At 37.7% G+C, this 23,076-nt stretch overlaps 1 protein-coding gene across 20 annotated transcripts in view; it reads right to left on the reverse strand.

The window, feature by feature from the left end:
- Positions 1–23,076, reverse strand: part of AK9 (adenylate kinase 9) — a 198,348-nt gene that overhangs the window by 57,056 nt on the left and 118,216 nt on the right. For all 20 annotated transcript variants that reach the window (XR_942337.3, XM_047418304.1, NM_001145128.3 and 17 more), the window contains 4 exons: positions 14,846–14,935; positions 14,170–14,370; positions 13,687–13,802; positions 180–392 (listed from right to left, as the gene is read on the reverse strand). Coding sequence is in view for 19 of the 20 variants with exons in the window: in XM_047418304.1 (XP_047274260.1) it covers positions 180–392; positions 13,687–13,802; positions 14,170–14,370; positions 14,846–14,935 (620 nt within the window). In the remaining variant the exon portion in view is untranslated. The remainder of the gene's footprint in view (positions 1–179; positions 393–13,686; positions 13,803–14,169; positions 14,371–14,845; positions 14,936–23,076) is intronic.

A 23,076-nucleotide genomic window follows, 5' to 3' on the forward strand; every position in this document is an offset into this window, starting at 1 on the left:
GTCTCGGCCTCCCAAAGTGCTGGGATTACAGGCGTGAGCCACCGCGCCCGGCCTAGATATTTTCTTTATATTGTAATATCAGATTGGGGATTTCACCCTTAAGTAAATTGATGGTGATTGGTAATCAGTCCCAAAAAAATCCTGTGGGAGCAATCATTAAGATAGGAATACTGTCTCACCTTCAATGGTTCTTCATGAGCCACATAATCCTCAGGATGCTCCAAAAACTTTTCTTTAGCCTCAGCACTTGAAAAGTAGTAGATCTTTTCTCGATACTTGGCTGCTTCTTCTGTGTTTCCTGGTTGCAGGATGAAGTTTTCTTTGAGGACCACCGGACAAAAGTGTTTTGTGTCTCCCAAATGCCTCTTTCTCTCCTTCATTTTATCTTCACCCTAGAAACGGTATTCAAAGTTTGGAGAACATTAAACTAAAAAAGTATTTTGATGCAGATAATTTTTTAAAATGCTTCTTGAATAATATTTAATCTGTAGCAACTTGAAAACTATCCACAAAAAGCCAGTCCTTATATTATTTTAATTAATTAAAAATCAGTTTCTCATATATTACTCTAAGTGCACATTCTAAGTTTCTTTATTTTCATGAGGAAAATAAAGCAGCACTGAGAATGAAGGTGCCTCCAGTCCTCTACCAACAGAGATGTAATGAAAAACTCCGGGATGTGTTGATGCTGGGTCATTGTGAGGTCAGTTTCTAAAATAGAATTATTCCCTAAAAGTAAAAGCTGAGTCAAGGTCACAACTTCTTACCCATGGCAAATTAAATGAGAGATGCCTCAGGATTTACTTTGGTATTAAGTGGATATATGATCAAATAATAATTTGGAAATATCCTATTTAGCTCAATTGAAAGTGTAAAATGTATTTTCATTTATGATAAAGAAAATATTGCAAAGTCCATTAAGGATTCTTTCAATTTATTTAAAGCAAGGGAAATACACTTAAAAAATGTTTTTTATGATGTAAAATACATGCTTACTGTAAAAATATTCAAAACACATCACAATGTATAAAAAGTGAAAATCTCTTTTCACCGTTTTTCTTCCAGTACTATGTTAGCATTCTTAATAGTTTTATCTCCCAGACTCATTAAAAAAATCCTACCAATATGCCTATAAAAATAGATATATATTTAGGCACATATATAGTATTTTTAAAAATACAAAGGGAATACTTTACATACTTATTTACATCATACTTCTTTCCACAAAACAAGATACAACAAACTTTCTATAAAGGTGCAAAAATGAGACTAACCTTTCCTTTTACTATTCTTACTTGATATTAATATCAGAATATGCAAACCTTGGCTGCGTGCGGGGGCTCATGCCTGTAATCCCAGCACTTTGGGAGGCCGAGGCGGGGTGGATCACATGAGGTCAGGAGTTTGAGACCAGCCTGGCCAACATGGTGAAACCCCTTCTCTACTGAAAATATAAAAACTAGCCAGGCATGGTGGCGCGTGCCTGTAATCCCAGCTATTCAGGAGGCTGAGGCAGGAGAATCACTTGAGTCCGAGAGGTGGAGGCTGCAGTGAGCCGAGATGGCACACTGCACTCCAGCCAGGGTGACAGAGTGAGACTCCATCTCAAAAAAAAAAAAAAAATGCAAGCTTCAAAACGAGCTGGAAAATAATGATTTTTTTCCTATGATGTTCAAAAAATACAGGGACTTATCTAATCAATGAAGGTGTATGTAAGAAATGACCTATAAAGCCTCCCCCACCTATTATTTTGGTTTAGCTTTTATCTTTCTTCCTAAGCCCATATTTTAGTAATTGATTTTATTTGGGGTAAAATCCTTTCAAGTCCTTATAATTTTTTTTCAGTTTTTTATTTCTTCCAAAAAAAAAAAGGGGGGTACATGTGCAGAACGTGCAGGTTTGTTACATAGGTACACATGTGCCATGGTGGTTTGCTCCAACTATTGACCCATCCTCTACGTTCCTTCCTCTTAACCCCAACAGGCCCTGGTGTGTGTTATTCCCCTCTTGGTGTCCATGTGTTTTCAGTGTTCAACTCCCACTTATAAGTGCGAACATGTGATTTTGGTTTTCTGTTCCTGTGTTACTTTGCTGAGGATGATGACTTCCAGCTCCATTCATGTCCCTGCAAAGGACATGATCTCATTCTTTTTTATGGCTGCAGAGCATCCCATGGTATATATATACCACATTTTCTTTATCCAGTCTATCATTGATGGGCATTTGGGTTGGTTCCATGTCTTTTCTATTGTAAATAGTGCGACAATAAACATATGTGTGCTTGTGTCTATAATAAACACAATAAACATAGTGCTAATGGGATTGCTGAGTCAACTGGTATTTTGGTTCTAGATCCTTGAGGAATCGCCACACTGTGTTTCAAATAATTGAACTGATTTGCACTCCCACCAACACTGTAAAAGCATTCCTATTTCTCCACAGCCTCACCAGCATCTGTCATTTCCTGACTTTTTAATAATCGCCATTTTGGCTGGTGTGAGATGGTATCTCAGTGTGGTTTTGATTTGCATTTCTCTGATGATCAGTGATGTTGAGCTTTTTTCATGTTTGCTGCCCACATAAATGTCTTCTTTTGAGAAGTGTCTGTTCATACATTTGGACTACTTTTTGATGAGGTTGTTTGTTTTTTTCTTGTAAATATGTTTAAGTTCAACATAAATTCTGAATATTAGACTTTTGTCAGATGGGTAGATTGCAAAAATTTTCTCCCATTCTTCAGGTTGCCTGTTCACTCTGATGATAGTTTCTTTTGCTGTGCAGAAGCTCTTTAGTTTAATTAGATCCCATTTGTCAACTGTAGCTTTTGTTGCAATTGCTTTTGGCATTTTTGTCATGAAGTCTTTGCCCATGCCTATGTCCTGAATGGTATTGCCTAGGTTTTCTTCTACGTTTTTTTATGCTTTTGGGTTATACATTTAAGTCTTTAATCCATCTTGAGTTAATTTTTGTATAAGGTGTAAGGAAAGGGTCCAGTTTCAGTTTTCTGCATACGGCTAGCCAGTTTTCCCAGCACCATTTACTGAATAGGAGATCCTTTCCTCATTGCTTGTTTTTGTCAGGTTTGTTGAAGATCAGATGGTTGTAGATATATGGTATTATTTCTGAGGTCTCTGTTCTATTCCATTGGTCTATATGTCTGTTTTGGTACCAGTACCATGCTGTTTTGGTTACTGTAGCCTTGCAGCAAGCTTGAAGTCAGGTAGCGTGATGCCTCTAGCTTTGTTCTTTTTGCTTAGAATTGTCTTGGCTATACAGGATCTTCTTTGATTCCATATGAAATTTAAGTTAGTTTTTTCTAATTCCGTGAAAATGTCAATGGTAGTTCGATGGGAATAGCATTGAATCTATAAATTACTTTGGGTAGTATGGCCATTTTCATGATATTGATTCTTCCTATCCATGAGGATGGAAAGTTTTTCTTTGTTTGTGTCTTCTCTTATTTCCTTGAGCAGTGGTTTGTAGTTCTCCTTGAAGAGGTCCTTCATATCCCTTGTTAGCTGTATTCCTAGGTATTTTATTCTCTTTGTAGTGATTGTGAATGGAAGTTCATTCATGATTTGGCTCTCTGCTTGCCTATTGTTGGTGTAAAGGAATGCCTGTGATTTACGAACATTGATTTTGTATCCTGAGACTTTGCTGAAGTTGCTTATCAGTTCAAGAAGTTTTTGGGCTGAAATAATGGGGTATTCTAGATATAAAATCATGTCATCTGCAAGCAGAGACAACTTGACTTCCTCTCTTCCTATTTGAATACCCTTTATTTCTTTATCTTGCCTGATTGTCCTGGCCAGAACGTCCAATACTATGTTGAATGGGAGTGGTGAGAGAAGGTATCCTTGTCTTGCACTGGTTTTCAAAGGGAACGCTTCCAGCTCTTGCCCATTCAATATGATATTCGCTGTGGCTTTGTCATAAATACTCTTATTATTTTGAGATATGTTCCATCAATACCTAGTTTATTGAGAGTTTTTAACATGAAGTGATGTTAAATTTTATCAAAGGCCTTTTCTGCATCTATTAAGATAATCATGTGGTTTTTGTCTTTGGTTCTGTTTATGTGATGGATTATGTTTATTGACCTGTGTATGTTGAACCAGCCTTGCATCCCAGGGATGAAGCCAACTTGATCATGGTGGATAACTTTTTTGATGCACTGCTGGATTCTGTTTGACAGTATCTTATTGAGGATTTTTGAATTGGTGTTTATCAGGGATATTGGCTGAAGCTTTCTTTTTTTGTTGTGTCTCTGCCAGGTTTTGGTATCAGGCTGATGCTTCATAAAATGAATTAGGGAGGAGTCTCTCCTTTTCAGTTGTTTGCAATAGTTTCAGAAGTAATGGTACCAGCTCCTCTTTGTATTTCTGGTATAATTCAGCTGTGAATGCATCTGATCCTGGGCTTTTTATGGTTGGTAGGCTATTAATTACCTCCTCAATTTCAGAACTTGCTATTGGTCTACTCAGGGATTCAACTTCTTCCTGATTCAGTCTTGGGAGGGTGTATGTGTCCAGGAATTTATTCATTTCTTCTAGATTTTCTAGTTTATTTGCATAGAGGTGTTAATATTCCCTGGTGGCAGTTTGTATTTCTTTTCTTTTTTTTTTTTTTTTTTTTTTTGGAGAAAAAGTCTCATTCTGTAGCCCAGGATGGAGTGCAATGGTGTGATCTCTGCTCACTGCAACCTCCACCTCCCAGGCTCAAGCTATTCTCCTGTCTCAGCCTCTCGAGTAGCTGGGATTACAGACGTGCACCACCATGCCCAGATAATTTTTGTATTTTTAGTACAGACAGGGTTTCGCTATGTTAGCCAGGCTTGTCTCGAACTCCTGACCTCAGGTGATCTGCCCGCCTTGGCCTTCCAAAGTGCTGGGAGTGCAGGCGTGAACCACCACACCCAGCCCAGCAATTTGTATTTCTGTGGGGTCAGTGGTGATATCCCCTTTGTCATTTGTTATTGTGTCTGTTTGATTCCTCTCTCTCAGTAGTCTAGCTAATGGTCTATCTGTTTTGTTAATTTTTTAAAAAACTAACTCCTGGATTCATTGGTATTTCGGAAGGTTCTTTTGTGTCCCTATCTCCTTCAATTCTTCTCTTATCTTAGTTATTTCTTGTCTTCTGCTAGCTTTTGGATTAGTTTGCTCATGCTTCTCTAGCTCTCTTCATTGTGATGTTAGGGTGTCGATTTGAGATCTTTCTAGCTTTCTGATGTGGGCATTTAGTGCTATAAATTTCCCTCTTAACACTGCTTTAGCTGTGTCCCAGAGATTCTTGTACATTGTCTCTTTGTTCTCATTGGTTTCAAAGAACTTCTTGATTTCTGCCTTATTTCATTATTTATCCAGCAATCATTCAGGAGCAGGTTGTTCAATTTCCATGAAATTGTGTGATTTTGAATGAGTCTCTTAATCCTGAGTCCTAATTTGCTTGCACTGTGATCTGAGAGACTGTTTGTTATGATTTCAGTTCTTCTGCATTTGCTGAGGAGTGTTTTACTTCCAATTATGTGTTTGATTTTAAAATAAGTGCCATGTGGCACTGAGAAGAATATATATTCTATTGATTTGGGGTATCGAGTTCTGTAGATGTCAACTAGGTCCACTTGATCCAGAGTTGAGTTCAAGTCCTGAATATCCTCATTAATTTTCTGTCTCAATGATCTAATACTGACAATGGGGTGTTAAAGTCTCCCACTATTATTGTGTGGGATTCTAAGTCTCTTTGTAGGTCTCTAAGAACTTGTTTTATGAATCTGGCTGCTCTTGTATTGGGTGCATATATGTTCAGAATAGTTAGCTCTTCTTGTTGAATTGTTCCCTTTACCATTATATAGTCCCCTTCTTTGTCTTTTTTGATCTTTAATGGTTTCAAGTCCGTTTGGTCAGAGACTAAGATTGTGACCCCTGCTTTTTTTGGCTTTCCATTTATTTGGTAAATTTTCTTCCATCCCTTTATTTTGAGCCTGTGTGTATCTTTGCATGTGAGATGAGTCTCTTGAAGACAGCATACCAATAGATCGTGGTTCTTTATCTAGCTTGCCATTCTGTACATTTGAATTGGGGCATTTAGCCCATTTACATTTAAGGTTAGTATAGATATGTGTGACTCTGATCCTGTCATCATGATGCTATTTGCTTATTTTGCACACTAGTTGATGCAGTTTCTTTGTAGTGTCATTGGTCTTTATATTTTGGTGTATTTTTGCAGTGGCTGGTACCAGTTTTTCCTTTCCAGTACATATTTAGTGCTTCTTTCAGGAGCTCTTGCAGGGCAGGCCTGGAGGTAATGAAATCCCTCAGCATTTGCTTGTCTGGAAAGGATTTTATTTCTCCTTTGCTTATGAAGCTTAGTTTGGCTGGATATGAAATTCTGGGTTGAAAATTCTTTAAGAATGTTGAATATTGGCCCCCAGTCTCTTATGGTTTGTAAAGTTTCTGCTGAGAGGTCCACTGTTAGTCTGATGGGCTTCCCCTTGTATGTTACCTGACCTTTCTCTCTGGCTGCCCTTAACAGTTTTTCCTTCATTTCAATCTTGGAGAATCTGATGATTATGTGTTTTGGGGTTGATCTCATGGAGTATCTTAATGGTGTTCTCTGTATTTCCTGAATTTGAATGTTGGCTTTTCTTGCTAGATTGAGGAAGTTCTCCTGGATAATATCCTGAAGTGTGTTTTCCAGCTTGTTTCCATTCTCCCTGTCTCCTTCTGGTACTCTAATCAATTGTAGGTTTGGTCTTTTTATGAAGTCCCATATTTCTTGGAGGCTTTGTTCATTCATTTTCATTCTTTTTTCTCTATTGTTGTCTGCAGGTCTTATTTCAGTAAGGTGTTCTTCAAACTCCAATATCCTTTCTTCTGCTTGGTCAATTCAACCGTTGACACTTGTGTATGCTTCACAAAGTTCTCATGCTGTGTTTTTCAGCTCCATCAGGTCATTTATGTTCCTCTCTAAACTGATTATTCTAGTTAGCAATTGCTCTAACCTTTTATCAAGGTTAACATGCTCCTTTAACTCATCTTAATTTTTTATTACCTATCTTCTGAATCCTACCTCTGTCAGTTCATCCATCTGATCCTCCATCCAGTTCTGTGCCCTTGGTGGAGAAACACTGCAATCATTTGGAGGAGAAGATGCACTCTGACCTTTTGGGTTTTCAGCATTTTCTCACTGATTCTTTCTATCTTCGTGAGTTTGTCAAGTTTCAGTCTTTGAGGCTGCTGACCCTTGGATGGGGTTTTTGTGGGGGCCTTTTTGTTGTTGTTGATGCTGTTGTTGTCACTTTCTACTTGTTTGTTTTTCTTTCAATAGTCAGGTCCCTCTTCCGTAGGGCTGCTGCAGTTTGCTGGGGGTTCACTTCAGACACTACTCATCTGATTTGCCCCCATGCCTGAAGATGTTACCGAGAGGGCTAGAGAGCAGCAAAGATGGGTGCCTGCTCCTTCTTCTGGGACTTTTGACCTTGAGGAACACCAACCTGATGCCAGTAGGATCGCTCCTGTATAGAATGTCTAACAACCCCTGTTAGAGGGTCTCACCCAGTTGGGTGGCACAGGGAGCCAGACCCATTTAAAGAAGCACTTTGTCCCTTGGTGGAGAGGGTATGTTTTGCTGAAGGGAAACCCACTCATCTGGGCTGCCTGGATTCCTCAGAACTACCAAGAGGAGAGGCTAAGTCTGCTGGTTTGCAGAGACTGCAGTCACCCCTCCTCCTATGTTGATGAATTACTGAATGGTTTCCAATTTGGAGCTATTACAAATAAAGCTGCTGTGACCACTCATCAAGTCTTTGAATGGGCATGTGCTCTCCTTTCTCTGGGATAAATTCCTAGGAGTGGAAGGACTGGGTGCTATGGTAGGTGTATATTTATCTGTTTAAGAAATTGCCAAACTGTTTTCCAAAGTGGTTGTACCAAGTTATATTCCCACGAGCAGTATATAAGAGTTCAAGTTATTCTGCATCCTAGCTAACACTTGGTATGGTCAGTCTTTGATTTTAGGCATTCTAATCACTATCTAATAGTGTCTCATTGTGATTTTAATTTTTACTTCCTTAATGACTAATGAGGTTGAACATCTTTTCATGTACCTATTAGCCATCTGTATATTTTAGTTGGTGAAGTATCTGGTGTCTGTTAAAATCTTTTGCCCATTAAAAAAATGGGTTGTTTTCTCATTGAGTATTAAGAGTTCTTTATCTATTCTGGATATAAGGACTTGCATCAGATATGTGATTTGTAAATATTTTATCCAAGTTTGTCTTTTCATTCTCTTAATAGTGTTTTTTTTAAAATAGTTTAGTTCTTACTTTTGACGAAGGCCAATTTATCATTCTTTTTCTTTATGGATTCTGCTTTTGGTGTCATGTCTAAGAAATTTTTGCCTAATCCAAGGTCTCAAAGATTCTCTCTTATGTTTCTTCCAGAAGTTTTGTAATGTACATTTAGGCCTATAATACATTCTAAGTTAGTTTTTGTATATCATGTGAGGTTTGGTTCAAAGTTCATTATTTTGCATATAGATCTCCAATTGTTCCAGCACTATTTATTAAAACTACTGTCCTTTCTCCACTAAATTGCCTCTGTAGATTTGTCAATAATCAATTGTCCATATATGTGTGGCTCTATATCTGGACTCTCTTGTGTTCTATTAATCTGTTTGCTGTTTTGTGCCAATGACACTATTTTGATAGCTATAACTTTATAATTAATTAATCTTGAAATCAAATGTATTAATTCTCTTACTTGGTTATTCTTTCTAAAATTTGTTTTCATTATTTTAAGTACTCTGGATTTTCAAATGAATGTTAGGATCAATTTATAAGTTTCTACCAAACAGTCTGCTGGGTTTTTAATTTTGATTATATGGAATCTGTAGATAAATTTGGGGAGAATTGATATAATAATATTAAGTCTTCTGACCTATGAACATGGTATATTTACTTTTTTTTTTTTTTGAGATGGAGTCTTGCTCTGTCGCCTAGGCTGGGGTGCGGTGGCACAATCTTGGCTCACTGCCCAAGATCAAACGATTTTCGTGTCTCAGCATTGCCAGCAGCTGGGATTACAGGCATACACCACCACGCCCGGCTCATTTTTATATTTTCAATAGAGAGGGGGGGTTCGCCATGTTGGCTAAGCTGCCTCGAACTCCTGACCTCAAGTGATCCGCCTGACTCGGCCTCCCAAAGTGCTAGGATTACAGACGTGAGCCACCATACTCAGCCATGGTATATCTATCTGTTTTTTTTTTTGTTTTTTTGAGATGGGGTCTCTCTCTGTCGCCCAGGCGGAGTGCAGTGGCACGATCTCGGCTCACTGCAGGCTCTGCCTCCCGGGTTCATGCCATTCTCCTGCCTCAGCCTCCCGAGTAGCTGGGACTACAGGTGCCTGCCACCTCGCCTGGCTAATTTTTTGTATTTTTAGTAGAGATGGGGTTTCACCGTGTTAGCCAGGATGGTCTTGATCTCCTAACCTCGTGATCTGCCCGCCTTGGCCTCCCAAAGTGCTGGGATTACAGGCGTGAGCCACTGTGCCCGGCCTGGTATATCTATCTGTCCATTTATGTAGGCTTTGTTCAATTTGTCTCAGCACAGTTTTGTAGTTTTTAGTGTGTTGTTCCTGGATCTTTTGCTAAATTTATCCCTTCATATTACATATTCTTGATCCTATTTTGAAAGGCATTTAAAAATCAATTTCTGATTGTCTATTGCTTACACATAGAAATAAAATTGGTTTTTGAATACTGATTTTATGTCCTGAAACTTTGCTAAATTCAATTATTAGTAGCTTTTTTTGTTGATTCCATTGGCTTTTCTACATAGATGTATTAATTTCATAATGCTGCTTAACAAATTACCACAAATATAGTGGCTTAAAACAACAAACATGTATTTTCTTACAGTTTTGGAGATCAGAATCCCAGAGAGTTTTATGGGGCTACTGTGAATTTGTTGGCAGGGTTAATTCTTTCTGGAGGCCTCAGGAGAGAATCCATTCCTGCTTCTCCACTTCTAGGGTTGGCTCATGGTCCTTTTCTCTATCTTCAAAGCCGGCTTAAAAGCACCTTCTCTCTGACTTCCTGTCTTCCTCTTACAAGGACCTTTGTGATTACATTGGTCCACGTGGATAATCCATGATAACTCCCTCATCTCAGGATCCTTAATTTAGTCATATCTGCAAAATCCTTTTTGCCATATAAGGTAACATTCACAAGTGTCAATTCACAGCTTAGGACATGAACTTCTTTGGCGTGCCATTATTCAGCCTATCACAATAGAAAATCTTATCTCCTACATATAAAGATAGTTGCATCTTTCTTTTTCAATCTGAATGCCTTTTATTTCTTTTCCTTGTCTGAATGCAGTAACCAAACCTTCAGTATAGTGTTGAATAGAAGTGGTGAGAATGAACATCCTTTCCTTGTCCTGATCTTAGGAAAAAAGCATTCAGCCTTTTACCCTTAAGTATGACATTAGCTGTTAGAGACTTTCTGTGGATCCCCTTTATCAAGCTAAGGAAGTTCCCTTCATTTTTTTTTCTTACCAGTAATAGATTTTGAATTTTGTCAAATGCTTTTTCCATATCTATTGAGGTGATCATGGTTTTTCCCCTCAGTTTGTTAATATGATGAATTACATTGATTGCTTTTCAAACGTTAAACTAACCTTGAATTTCCAAGATAAGCCCCACTTGGTCATGGTGTATTATTCTTTTTGTGTATTTTTGGATTTGATTTGCTAAAATTTTGTTAAGAATGTCTATATCTATATTAATGAGTGATGTTAGACTGCAGTTTGTTTTTCTTTCCTTGCTTTTAATGTCTTTGGTTTTGGTATCAGAATAATGCTGATCTCATAGAATGACTAGGAAGTATTCTCTCCTCTTCAATTTTCTGGAACAGTTTGTATAGAATTGGTTTTCTTTCTTTCTTCAAGATTTGGCAGAATTCATCAGGGAAGCCACCTGTGTCTGGCTGCTTTCTTTCAGCTTTTGTATGTCTAACAGAGTCTTCAGTTTGCCTTTGTTTTTATTTTTTTATTTTTATTTTTTGAGATAGAGTCTCACTTTGTTGCCTAGGCTGGAGTGCAATGGCATGATCTCACTGCAACCTCCGGCTCCCAGGTTCAAGCGATTCTCCTGCCCCAGCCTCCTGAGTAGCTGGGATTACAGGTGCGCATGACCACACCTGGCTAATTTTTGTATTTTTAGTAGAGACGGGGTTTCACCATGTTGGTCAGGCTGGTCTTGAACTCCTGACCTCATGATCCGCCTGCCTCGGCTTCCCAAAGTGCTGGGATTACAGGCGTGAGCCACCATGCCCAGCTTGCCTTCGTTTTTAAAAGAGAGTTTCAGTGGACTTAGAATCCTAGGTTGACAGTTTATTTTATGTTTTGTTTTGTTTTGTTTTAGACAGGGTCTCACTCTGTTGCCCAGGCTGGAGTGCAGAGGTGTGATCTCAGCTCACTGAAGCCTCGACCTCCTGGGCTCGGGCGATCCTCCCACCTGTCTCCTGAGTAGCCAGGACTACAGGTGTGCACCACCATGCCTGGTTAATTTTTGTATTTTTTGTAGAGATGGGGTTTCGCCATGTTGCCCAGGCTGTTCTTGAACTCCTGAGCTGAAGTGATGTGCCTGCCTTGGCCTCCCAAAGTGCTGGGATTACAGGCATGAGCCACTGTGCCAGGCTGACATTTTTTTTTCCCTTCAATACATTAAAGATGTTGCTCCACTCTCTTCTTGCATTGTTTTTGATGAGAAATATGCTGTTATCCTTATCTTTGTTCCTGTGTATGTGGCATATGTTTTCTCCTTTATTTTTAAAACTAGTTTTGAGCAATTTGAATAATATGATGTACTTGGTGCTATTATAATATTTTCTTCATGTTTCTTGTGCTTGAGCATATTTATTTATTGGGCATATTGAATCTGAGAGTTTGTAATTTTTTTCAAAATTTAGAAAAAACTTGGCCATTTTCTCTTCAATTCCCCTCACACATACTTTTTGTAGATCTGAACTATATGTACACGTTGAGCATCCCTAATCCCCAAATCTGAAATTTGGAATGCTCTAAACTCTGAAACTTCTTGAGCAGTGATCTGACACTCAAAGAAAATGCTTACTGTAGCATTTTGGATTTCAGATTAAAAATGCTCAACTGGTATATATTGTGCAAATATTCAAGAATCTGAAAAAGTCTAAAATCAGAAACACTTCTGGTCCCAAGCATTCTGTATAATAGGCTGCTTGAAGTTGTCCCACAGATCACTGATGCTCTTCTCATTTTTTTTCAGAATCTTTTTCCTCTGTTGTTTCATTTCGGATAGTTTCTATTGCTATTTCTCTTGCAGTGGCTAAACTATGGTCATACCATTAATGTATATTTCATTTCATATATTGTACTTCTCAATCTTAAAAGTTCAACTTAGGTATTTATTATATCTTCTATATCTCTGTTTAACTTTTTGAACATATAGAATAACAACTGTTTTACCGTCCTTGTCATCTAATTCTAAGAACACCTTCGTCAGTTCTGAATCCATTTCAGTTGATTACTTTTTCTCCTCATTGTGAGTCATATTTTTCTGCCTGTTTGCAGGTCACACAATCCTTCAGTGACTGCTAGAATTTTACTTTATATTCCCATAAATATTCTTGAGCATTGCTCTTGGACACAGTTAAATTACTTGGAAGCAGTTTGATCCTTTTGGCTCTTGCTTTTTGATGGGGGGGCCAAAGTTTCATTTATGCTAGGTCTAGTTATTCCCCATTCCTAAGGCTAGGCTCTTGTTAGTACCCTACCCAATGCTCTGTGAATTGGGAGGGTTTTTTTTTAATATTATTAATGAAGACTATACTTTAAAATATAAGCTTTGAGTATTACAGCCGGCCTGATAATTGTCTGCGGATACCAGAGACCATTTTATGGTGCACCAGAGTGGGACACAGAAGAACAACAGCAGACATGGCAGAGGATGGATGATGAAAGAAAAGAATCTGAATCTGAGTGGGACAAAACCCGCATCCTTTAGCCATCCCAAAGAAAGGCTCTCCAGTTCCTTAGTGATAAAGTACTAAAAGCTGTTATCAGAATCACACTACATATTGTTTGTTGTTTGACACATATATATTTGGGTTTAAGTCAGGCAACTTAACCCAGTTAATCACAAGTCTATGTTTATATAACTTAATAATATTACTTTTTACTTATAAAGCTTCAAATGAAAAGAACTGCTTCCTGTTTCATTACTGATAGATGTCTGAACTGGGCAGCTATCAAATGAGAATGGTTGTCCAAATTCTGATGCCAAGGGAGTGGATGGGGCCTGAATATGGGTTACTCCTAACTGAGAACACTGCACATTATTATCATGCAAGCAGCCTCTTTTACTTACAACAACCACTTCTGCTAAATTTATACAATATTTATGTATTTAAAACTTAAACTTTTTTTCCATGCAAAATAGTTTCCTTTTATCTTTTCATGAGTCTTTTTTCATACTACATAGCCTGGAATTTCAGGGGGGTCAAGTGAAGCTGAGGCAGAGGGAGAATGTGTGTGCAAATGAGAATGTCTGTTCACTTGGGGTCCAAAAGTGATAGTTACCACTCTTATTTGCATATTTTCAATGACTTCACAAATGAGAATGAGTAGAAATAAAAGAATCATGCCTCTTCCTCTTCCTCTTCCTCTAGCTCCTCATCAACCTCTGCTTCAGTCTGGTAGTCTTCTGTTTCTTCCTCATAATCTTCCCCAGTTAACTCCCATGCAGTATATTGAAATGGTTCTGGAGAAAAAGAGAATCATTGGGGAAAATATTTTTAGTAAAAAAGGTTATTAGCATATTACTATAGTCAAATGTTGGGAAAATTGATTATTATTATTATTAGTCTCTTAGATTAAATATGTATGCAAATAGGCCTTTATAAGTTCCTTACGTGACAACTGGCCAGTATGGCCAGAGGTGTTTGGGCCACATAGCTGTTCTGATTGGTCAGGACCTGCACAGTGATAGTTGCTAAGTATTTTATACATCAGCCTTGGATATACTGAACATTTACTTCATAAACCATCAAAGAAGGCTTTCAAGTTTCAAAATGCTTCTAATACTATCACCTGCTGTTGATAATAAATGTTATGATTAAAGCCCTTACTTTCCATAGTCTCAACTACTTTTTGAAGTAATTCCTGTGGAGTTCTGTCAGCAATCTCCAAGTTTAAAATTTTAATGTAAGCCTCACTAATTGTTGCTTCTAGCTGTTTCCAGAGGATGATGAAAGAACCAATCTTCTCTTTAAATGGCTCCATTTCGGGAACATCAGGATAAGAGTCTTCTGGAAACTCAGGTAGTACAACTTTGGAGTAAAAGACAAAGGAAAGAAAAAAGGGGCTTTAAATATCCTATCTTTAGCCATATTGCCAAAATAGCTTATACTTTGCAATTTTTTTAAACAGTTAAAAAAATAATATTCTAAGCAACAATATACATTCATAAATTCATAATTTAATTATGCTTTGTTCTTATATTTGCTGTAGATATATATTTACCTGTTACTAAAACTCAAGCTTTTGGATAATTAACATGAGTTTCTTAAGGAAACTTTAACGGTTAATAAAAAATGTATAAAACAAATTTGTGTAAAAACCAGTGTTATAATCTAGTTTGATACACTTTTAATGGAGTAAGCCAAATATTTATGTATGTCAATTAGCATACAACATAGAAAGAAATAAGTATGACGCACCTACTATGCCTAAAATTAGGGACCCTTTGTAAGAAAATATGAAAAGTACTTTTATGCAAGAACTACTTTCATTTTACAGTCTAACCTGTTTCAGATAATTTTTCAATTTCCAGGCCCTCTTTGGATCCTTTTGGGATTTCTGTTTCCACTGTAGTTTCCTCGATAGGCTCAGATACTTAAGAAAGAAATCGAATAGTTAGTGTTTAAATTTGAAAACATTATTCCTTTATGAAAGTTTTGGCACAAAGAACATTTCAAAATATAGCTTAAATTGTATATGAAATGCCTAATAGAAAGCAAAGTTCTTGTTAGGGAAAGAACGGCATAAGAATACATAATAAAAAAGGCAGAAAATAAAGAATATTCTTAAACACATAAAAGGACATGGACTAGAATAATAATTGACACATGGCACATACAATTCTGGCTGATAATTTGTTAAATATTAATCAAACTTCTTTTAATTTGGCAGTAGACTAACAATGCCTGATATTCCTTTTAATTTCTTATTAAAAATACCCATGAAGCCAGGCATAGTGAATTGTGCCTGTAATCCTAGCCTTTGGGAGGCAGAGGTGGGAGAATCACTTAAGGCCAGGAGTTCAAGACCAGCCTAGGCAACACAGCAAGACCACATCCCTACAAAAAATAAAAATTAGCCAGGCATGGTGGCTCACACCTGTGGTCCTAGCTACATGGGAGGCTGAGGTGGGAAGATCACTTGATCCCAGGAGTTCAAGTTACAGGGAGCTATGATCGTGCCACTGCACACCAGTCTGGGTGACAGAGCAAGACACCATCTCTTTAAAAAAAAATTTTTTTTCAAGAAGATACACCAAAAAAGACCACAAACTGGCAGTGAGAGATGATGATATTGCAAAGTCCCAGCTGTAGGTGTAGGCATGGAGAGATTTAAGAGACTCTCAACTAATTTCACGGTTGAAGATATAGGTTGAAAACTGTTTTCCTGAAGGATGTAAGACATGCTGCACATACAGATCCAGCAGAGGTAGTTTCAGGGAAGGCAGGACTAATTATCTGTCTTTTCATCCTAGTCTGCTCCTAGTTCTGAAACACAAGTTTTGCATAGACAAAAGTACATATATCTATATGCATATATACGTATGTATATACACACACACATTCTGCAACACGGTGGAAACTGTCTTCTGAGTTAGCTAAAATAATACTTGGGTCCTCTTTCAACAGGATCTATAATGTTTAATACTCAATAGAGCAGGAAGTAGAAGGGGACAAGCCTGGGACTGGCCTGGTGGTGGCATGTTTAATTGTAGGTTGCTCAATTAAGAAAATCATTACAAACCATGGAAGAGAAAAGAACACCAAGAATATACAGATAATTCTACAATGCCTTAGCTTCTCTGGCTTAATCAAAGACTGCAATAGTTGGGGGTGAAGATCTAGCCTCAGTCTAGAAGAGCCATACAAGATGAGTACTTACTAAATATTACAACTTGAACTAGGTTGATTTGCATTAACCTATATCAGATATAACAGGTCTATATCTGAGAATGCCAGGCAAGAAGTCTAAGTGAAAAGTACACGTGTGTGGGAGTCAGGGTAGGGGGACAGAGTTCTTATAAATACTCTACCTACCCTTCCTGTTGGTAAATGCAAGAGTTGGATATATTCTGCTTCATCCAAGAATAAGTCCACAAAAACAACAAAAACAAAATCGACGAAGCAAAAGAGAGTATTGATCCAAAGATTCAGATGAAAATTTTACTTCTGAAGACAATTTCTTATATAAAGCAGAGTAAATTTTACAAGATGTATGCTTGGAGTACTAAAAAACACAAGATAACAACTGAGTCTATGAAATAAAAATCACGAGGCATAAAGATAGATTAAAATAAAGGCAGAAATACAGGAAGGGTAACTGAAATAAGAAAACAATGCAAGGAAATCTAAAATGCAATAGTAGAGTTAACATATGCATTGGGAATGTTCTTACTTACAAGTGGAAGCTAAGCCATGTGTATGCAAAGGCATACAGAGTGGTATAATGGACACTGGAGACTCAGAAGGGAGCAGGGTAAGAGGGGAGTGAGGGATGAAAAACCACCTATAGGGATGAAGAAACTCACTCAAAACCACTCAACTACATGGAAACTGAACAACCTGCTCCTGAATGACTACTGGGTACATAACGAAATGAAGGCAGAAATAAAGATGTTCTTTGAAACCAATGAGAACAAGGACACAACATACCAGAATCTCTGGGACACATTTAAAGCAGTGTGTAGAGGGAAAGTTATAACACTAAATGCCCACAAGAGAAAGCAGGCAAGATCTAAAATTGACACCCTATCATCACAATGAAAAGAAATAGAGAAGCAAGAGCAAACAAATTCAAAAGCTAGCAGAAAGCAAGAAATAACTAAGATCAGAGCAGAACTGAAGGAGATAGAGACATAAAAAACCCTTCAAAAAATCAATGAATCCAGGACCTGGTTTTTTGAAAAGATCAACAAAATTGATAGACTGCTAGCAAGACTAATGAAGAAGAAAATAGAGAAGAATTAAATAGATGCAACAAAAAATGATAAAGGGGATATCACCACTAATCCCACAGAAATACAAACTGCCATCAGAGAATACTATAAACACTTCTACGCAAATAAACTAGAAAATCTAGAAGAAATGGATAAATTCCTGGACACATACACCCTCCCAAGACTAAACCAGGAAGAAGCTGAATCCCTGAATAGACCAATAACAGGTTCTGAAATTGAGGCAAAAATTAATAGCCTACCAACCAAAAAAAGTCTAGGACCAGACAGATTCACGGCTGAATTCTACCAGAGGTACAAATAGGAGCTGGTACCATTCCTTATGAAACTATTCCAATCAATGGGAAAAGGGAATCCTCTGAGTTCACGTCCTTTGTAGGGACATGGATGAAGCTGGAAACCATCATTCTCAGCAAAATATCGCAAGGACAGAAAACCAAACACCGCATGTTTTCACTCATAGGTGGGAATTGAACAATGAGAACACTTGGACACAGGAAGGGGAACATCACACACTGGGGCCTGTTGTGGGGTGGGGGGAGGGGGGAGGGACAGCATTAGGAGATATACCTAATGCAAATGACGAGTTAATGGGTGCAGCACACCAACATGGCACATGTATACATATGTAACAAACCTGCACATTGTGCACATGTACCCTAGAACTTAAAGTAAAATAAAAAAAAAAAAAAAGAAAAAGGGAATCCTCCCTAATTCATTTTATAAGGCCAACATCATCCTGATACCAAAGCCTGGCAGAGGCACAACAAAAAAAGAGAATTTTAGACCAATGTCCCTGATGAACATGGATGCAAAAATTCTCAATAAAATACTGGCAAACCGAATCCAGCAGCACATCAAAAAGCTTATCCACCACGATCAAGTTGGCTTCATCCCTGGGATGCAAGGCTGGTTCAACATACACAAATCAATAAACGTAATCCAGCATATAAACACAACAAAAGACAAAAACCACATGGTTATCTCAATAAATGCAGAAAAGGCCTTCAAGAAAATTCAACAGCGCTTCATGCTAAAAACTCTCAATAAACTAGTTATTGATGAGACGTATCTAAAAATAAAAAGAGCTATCTATGACAAACCCACAGCCAATATCATACTGAATGGGCAAAAACTGGAAGCATTCGCTTTGAAAACTGGCACAAGACAGGGATGCCCTCTCTCACCACTCCTATTCAACATAGTGTTGGAAGTTCTGGCCAGGGAAATCAGGCAAGATAAAGAAATAAAGGGTATTCAATTAGGAAAAGAGGAAGTCAAATTGTCCCTGTTTGCAAATGACATGATTGTATATTTAGAAAACCCCATCGTCTCAGCCCAAAATCTCCTTAAGCTGATAAACAACTTCAGCAAAGTCTCAGGATACAAAATCAATGTGCAAAAATCACACGCATTCCTATACACCAATAACAGACAAACAGAGAGCCAAATCATGAGTGAACTCTCAATCACAATTGCTTCAAAGAGAATAAAATACCTAGGAATCCAACTTACAAGGGATGTGAAGGACCTCTTCAAGGAGAACTACAAACCACTGTTCAATGAAATAAAAGGGGATTCAAACAAATGGGAGAACATTCCATGCTCATGGATAGGAAGAATCAATATTGTGAAAATGGCCATACTGCCCAAAGTAATTTATAGATTCAATGCCATCCCCATCAAGCTACCAATGACTTTCTTCATAGAATTGGAAAAAACTACTTTAAAGTTCATATGCAATGAAAAAAGAGCCCGTATTGCCAAGACAATCCTAAGCCAAAAGAACAAAGTGGGAGGCATCATCCTACCTGACTTCAAACTATGCTACAAGGCTACAGTAACCAAAACAGTATGGTACTGGTACCAAAACAGAGATATAGACCAGTGGAACAGAATAGAGCCCCTGGAAATAATACCACACATCTACAACCATCTGATCTTTGACAAACCTGACAAAAACAAGAAATGGGGAAAGGATTCCCTATTTAATAAATGGTGCTGGGAAAACTGGCTAGCCATATGTAGAAAGCTAAAACTGGATCCCTTCCTTACATCTTATACAAAAATTAATTCAAGATGGATTAAAGACTTAAATGTTAGACCTAAAACCATAAAAACCCTAGAAACAAACCTAGGCAATACCATTCAGGACATAGACATGGGCAAGGACTTCATGACTAAAATACCAAAAGCAATGGCAACAAAAGCCAAACTTGACAAATGGATCTAATTAAACTAAGGAGGTTCTGCCCAGCAAAAGAAACTACCATCAGAGTGAACAGGCAACCTACAGAATGGGAGAAAATTTTTGCAATCTACCCATCTGACAAAGGGCTAGTATCCAGAATCCACAAAGAACTTAAACAAATTTACAAGAAAAAATCGAACAACCCCATCAAAAAGTGGGCAAAGGATATGAACAGACACTTCTCAAAAGAAGACATTTCTGCAGCCAACAGACCCATGAAAAAATGCTCATTATTACTGGCCGTCAGAGAAATGCAAATCAAAACCACGATGAGATACCATCTCACACCAGTTAGAATGGCAATCATTAAAAAGTCAGGAAACAACAGGTGCTGGAGAGGATGTGGAGAAATAGGAATGCTTTTACACTGTTGGTGGGACTGTAAACTAGTTCAACCATTGTGGAAGACAATGGGGCGATTCCTCAAGGATCTAGAACTAGAAATACCATTTGACCCAGCCATCCCATTACTGGGCACATACCCAAAGGATTACAAATCATGCTGCTATAAAGACACATGCACACGTATGTTTATTGTTGCACTATTCACAATAGCAAAGACTTGGAACCAACCCAAATGTCCATCAATGATAGACTGAATTAAGAAAATGTTGCACATATACACCATGGAATACTATGCAGCCATTAAAAAGGATGAGCTCATGTGCTTTGTAGGGACATGGATGAAGCTGGAAACCATCATTCTCAGCAAACTATCACAAGGATAGAAAACCAAACACTGCATGTTTTCACTCATAGGTGGAAATTGAACAATGAGAACACTTGGACACATGGTTGGGAGCATCACACACTGGAGCCTGTCGTGGGGTGGGGGAAGGGGGGAGGGATAGCATTAGGAGGTATACCTAATGTAATGACGAGTTAACGGGTGCAGCACACCAACATGGCACATGTATACACATGTAACAAACCTGCATGTTGTGCACATGTACCCTCTATAGAACTTAAAGTATAATAATAATAAAAAAAAGAAAAACCACCTATAGAATACAACATGCACTATTTGAGTGATAGGTATGCTAAAACCCCAGACTTCACCACTATATGTGATTCATCCATGTAACCAAAACCCACTTGTACCCCTAAAACTACTGAAATAAAAAAATTTTTTAATGCATTAGGAGAGAGGCAATAAGGTGGAGAAGGTAAACCAGTGACATGGAGGATAACAAGTCTCTGAAGAATCCAGAGAAAAAGTACAAAGAGATGAGAACTATCAGGAAAAAGAAGATTAACGTGGTTGAGAAACAATAGTTATCTGACCAAAAATAATAAATGATCCTGAAAAAGGAATCTGAAGCAATAACTGAAGAAAGGCATTTTGAGCTAGACAAAGATTGTGATATGAAGACAAGAAGAGCTCAATGAATTCCCGGGTAAATCATTCACATACCAGCAAAGTTTTAACAAATAATGGCATTGAAAAGGATCCTTTGAGCACCCCTGTAGGAAAAGAACGAAAAGAACAGAAATGAGGGAATATCTTGACTTTTCCATGTGTAGAAGACAATGAAGCAATGTCAACATGAGGAATTCTGAGAAGAAAAGGTTATGACAATGATTTAATAGCCTCTAAGTTGTTTTATATATGTGAAAGCAATAGATTTGCAGAAAAATTACAAAATATGCCACGCTGGATCCTTAAAAAGTTGCTCAAAGATGTAGACCAGATGACTAAGAGATGAATCAAAATTAAAATCTCAAGAATAGGGTCATGTGGAATTTGGGAGAAATCCAAATGGAATTATCATTATCCTAATACCACATAGCTACAGAAATCCACAGCCTGTTCTAGTGGACTGGACAAAACTGGCCACACTCATGAGCATTCAACAATGTGGAGAAGTTATGCCTCTTTCCAAAATGCTATCTGAAGGAAGTTTATAAACAAATAATTTCCATATAGTTATTGTTTATTGAAAATAACTCTCTTGTAGGACTTTAAAAATGTCCGAGAGGAAACCTTTCTCTCAAGCCGAAGTCTAATTGGATCACAGTTAGATAAAAACAAAACAAAACACCATTCTTAAAAAAGCTAAAAGGAAATACATTAGAATGTTAAGTATCATTGCCTTTTGTTGTCAGATCAATGATGATTTCCCCCATCTTTCTATTTGTATAATTTCTGTATTTTCTATAGTTAGCACATATTTTTATCAAACCTGGATGGATGTATGATTTTGAAACACACCGTTCAACATCAACTGTATCAAAACTACGATCACTGTCTTTAATAGACATTTTTCAAATTTCTATTCAATATATTCATTAATTTTGACCTGCAGATACAGTGTACAGCCAAATGATTCTAGAGTTTTTATTTTCAGGATCAGATTTTTCTCAGGTATGCTACTGTGCTTTTTCCATGATATAAGGAATAATTGACAAAACTTATTTTTCAGGCAGAATGTTTTTCCTATAGCAGTAGTTCTCAACTGTTAGTATGTATAAGAATCACTGGGGTGTTCATTAAAATGTAGATTCCTAAATTCCATCCTAGACTTACTGAACCAGAGCCTGCATAGAGCTCAGAGGCTTACCTTAAAATAAGAACCATAGGTGATTCTGATACAGCTGATCTACCACCTATACTATGAAACAATATTTCTCTTTTATGTGAAACTCTAAAGTCTCAGTTAAGCATTTAAGAATTTGAGCAGATGATTACTTATTTCTTGGGTGAAATAATGAATGTGCGCCTAGGCATTCCTGCAACCTGCATCTGTGGAAAGGCAGTATGGTAGATACTGTTGGTTGGCTCCCTCAACCCCCCTCTCGTCTTCTATTCCATTGGCTTCTACCATCTAGGCAAGGAAGCCAAGTCCAAATTAAATTCCCAGATTCCCTGCAAGTAGGGGTAGATGACGATACAATATTCTGCTCAATGAAATGTAGGTGAAAGTCTCTGTGAACTATCTATTTCTTGAATTAGAAATAAAAAGTAAAAGCTTGCAAGAGGAGACATTGTGTCTGGATGCAGCAGCCACCTATGGATCGTGAGGATGGAGTCAGATACTGGAGAGAAGTACAGGAGGAAAGAAGATGCTTGGGGCTTCAATATCTTTTTAAGTGAACAAACCAGCCTGGGGCTCTTAGATATGCATAATACTTAATATACTTGTCAGAATGAAACACATGCACATATGAGCTGTGAAATATGAATTGTGTAATTTTCATTAATTTCCCTTAGTCTTGCTTCTTTTATAAGCTCACAGCAGTTCCAGGCCCTTAACTGCTCCAGACTAGCATCCAGTTACAGGTATCTGAAGACCTTTTAGTTTGTAGGATGAATTTCAGATTCAATACTAACTCTGCTTGAAAGCATTTGCAAGCCTCATTCCCACCACAGGTGGGTACCCTATGTTCCTGCTTTAAGCCCACTCTCTAGTCCTTGGAGTGGTTTTCATTGCCTATAGACTCCTTCTTGCCTTGCCCCATCCACCAAATGAGACCTCTGAGGTAGGGCTTAAAGAGTTAATGCTCTCATATTAACATTTAAAATGCTCTTAT

This window comes from Homo sapiens, chromosome 6, assembly GCF_000001405.40.
Source record: "Homo sapiens chromosome 6, GRCh38.p14 Primary Assembly".
Classification (NCBI taxonomy): Eukaryota; Metazoa; Chordata; class Mammalia; order Primates; family Hominidae; genus Homo; species Homo sapiens.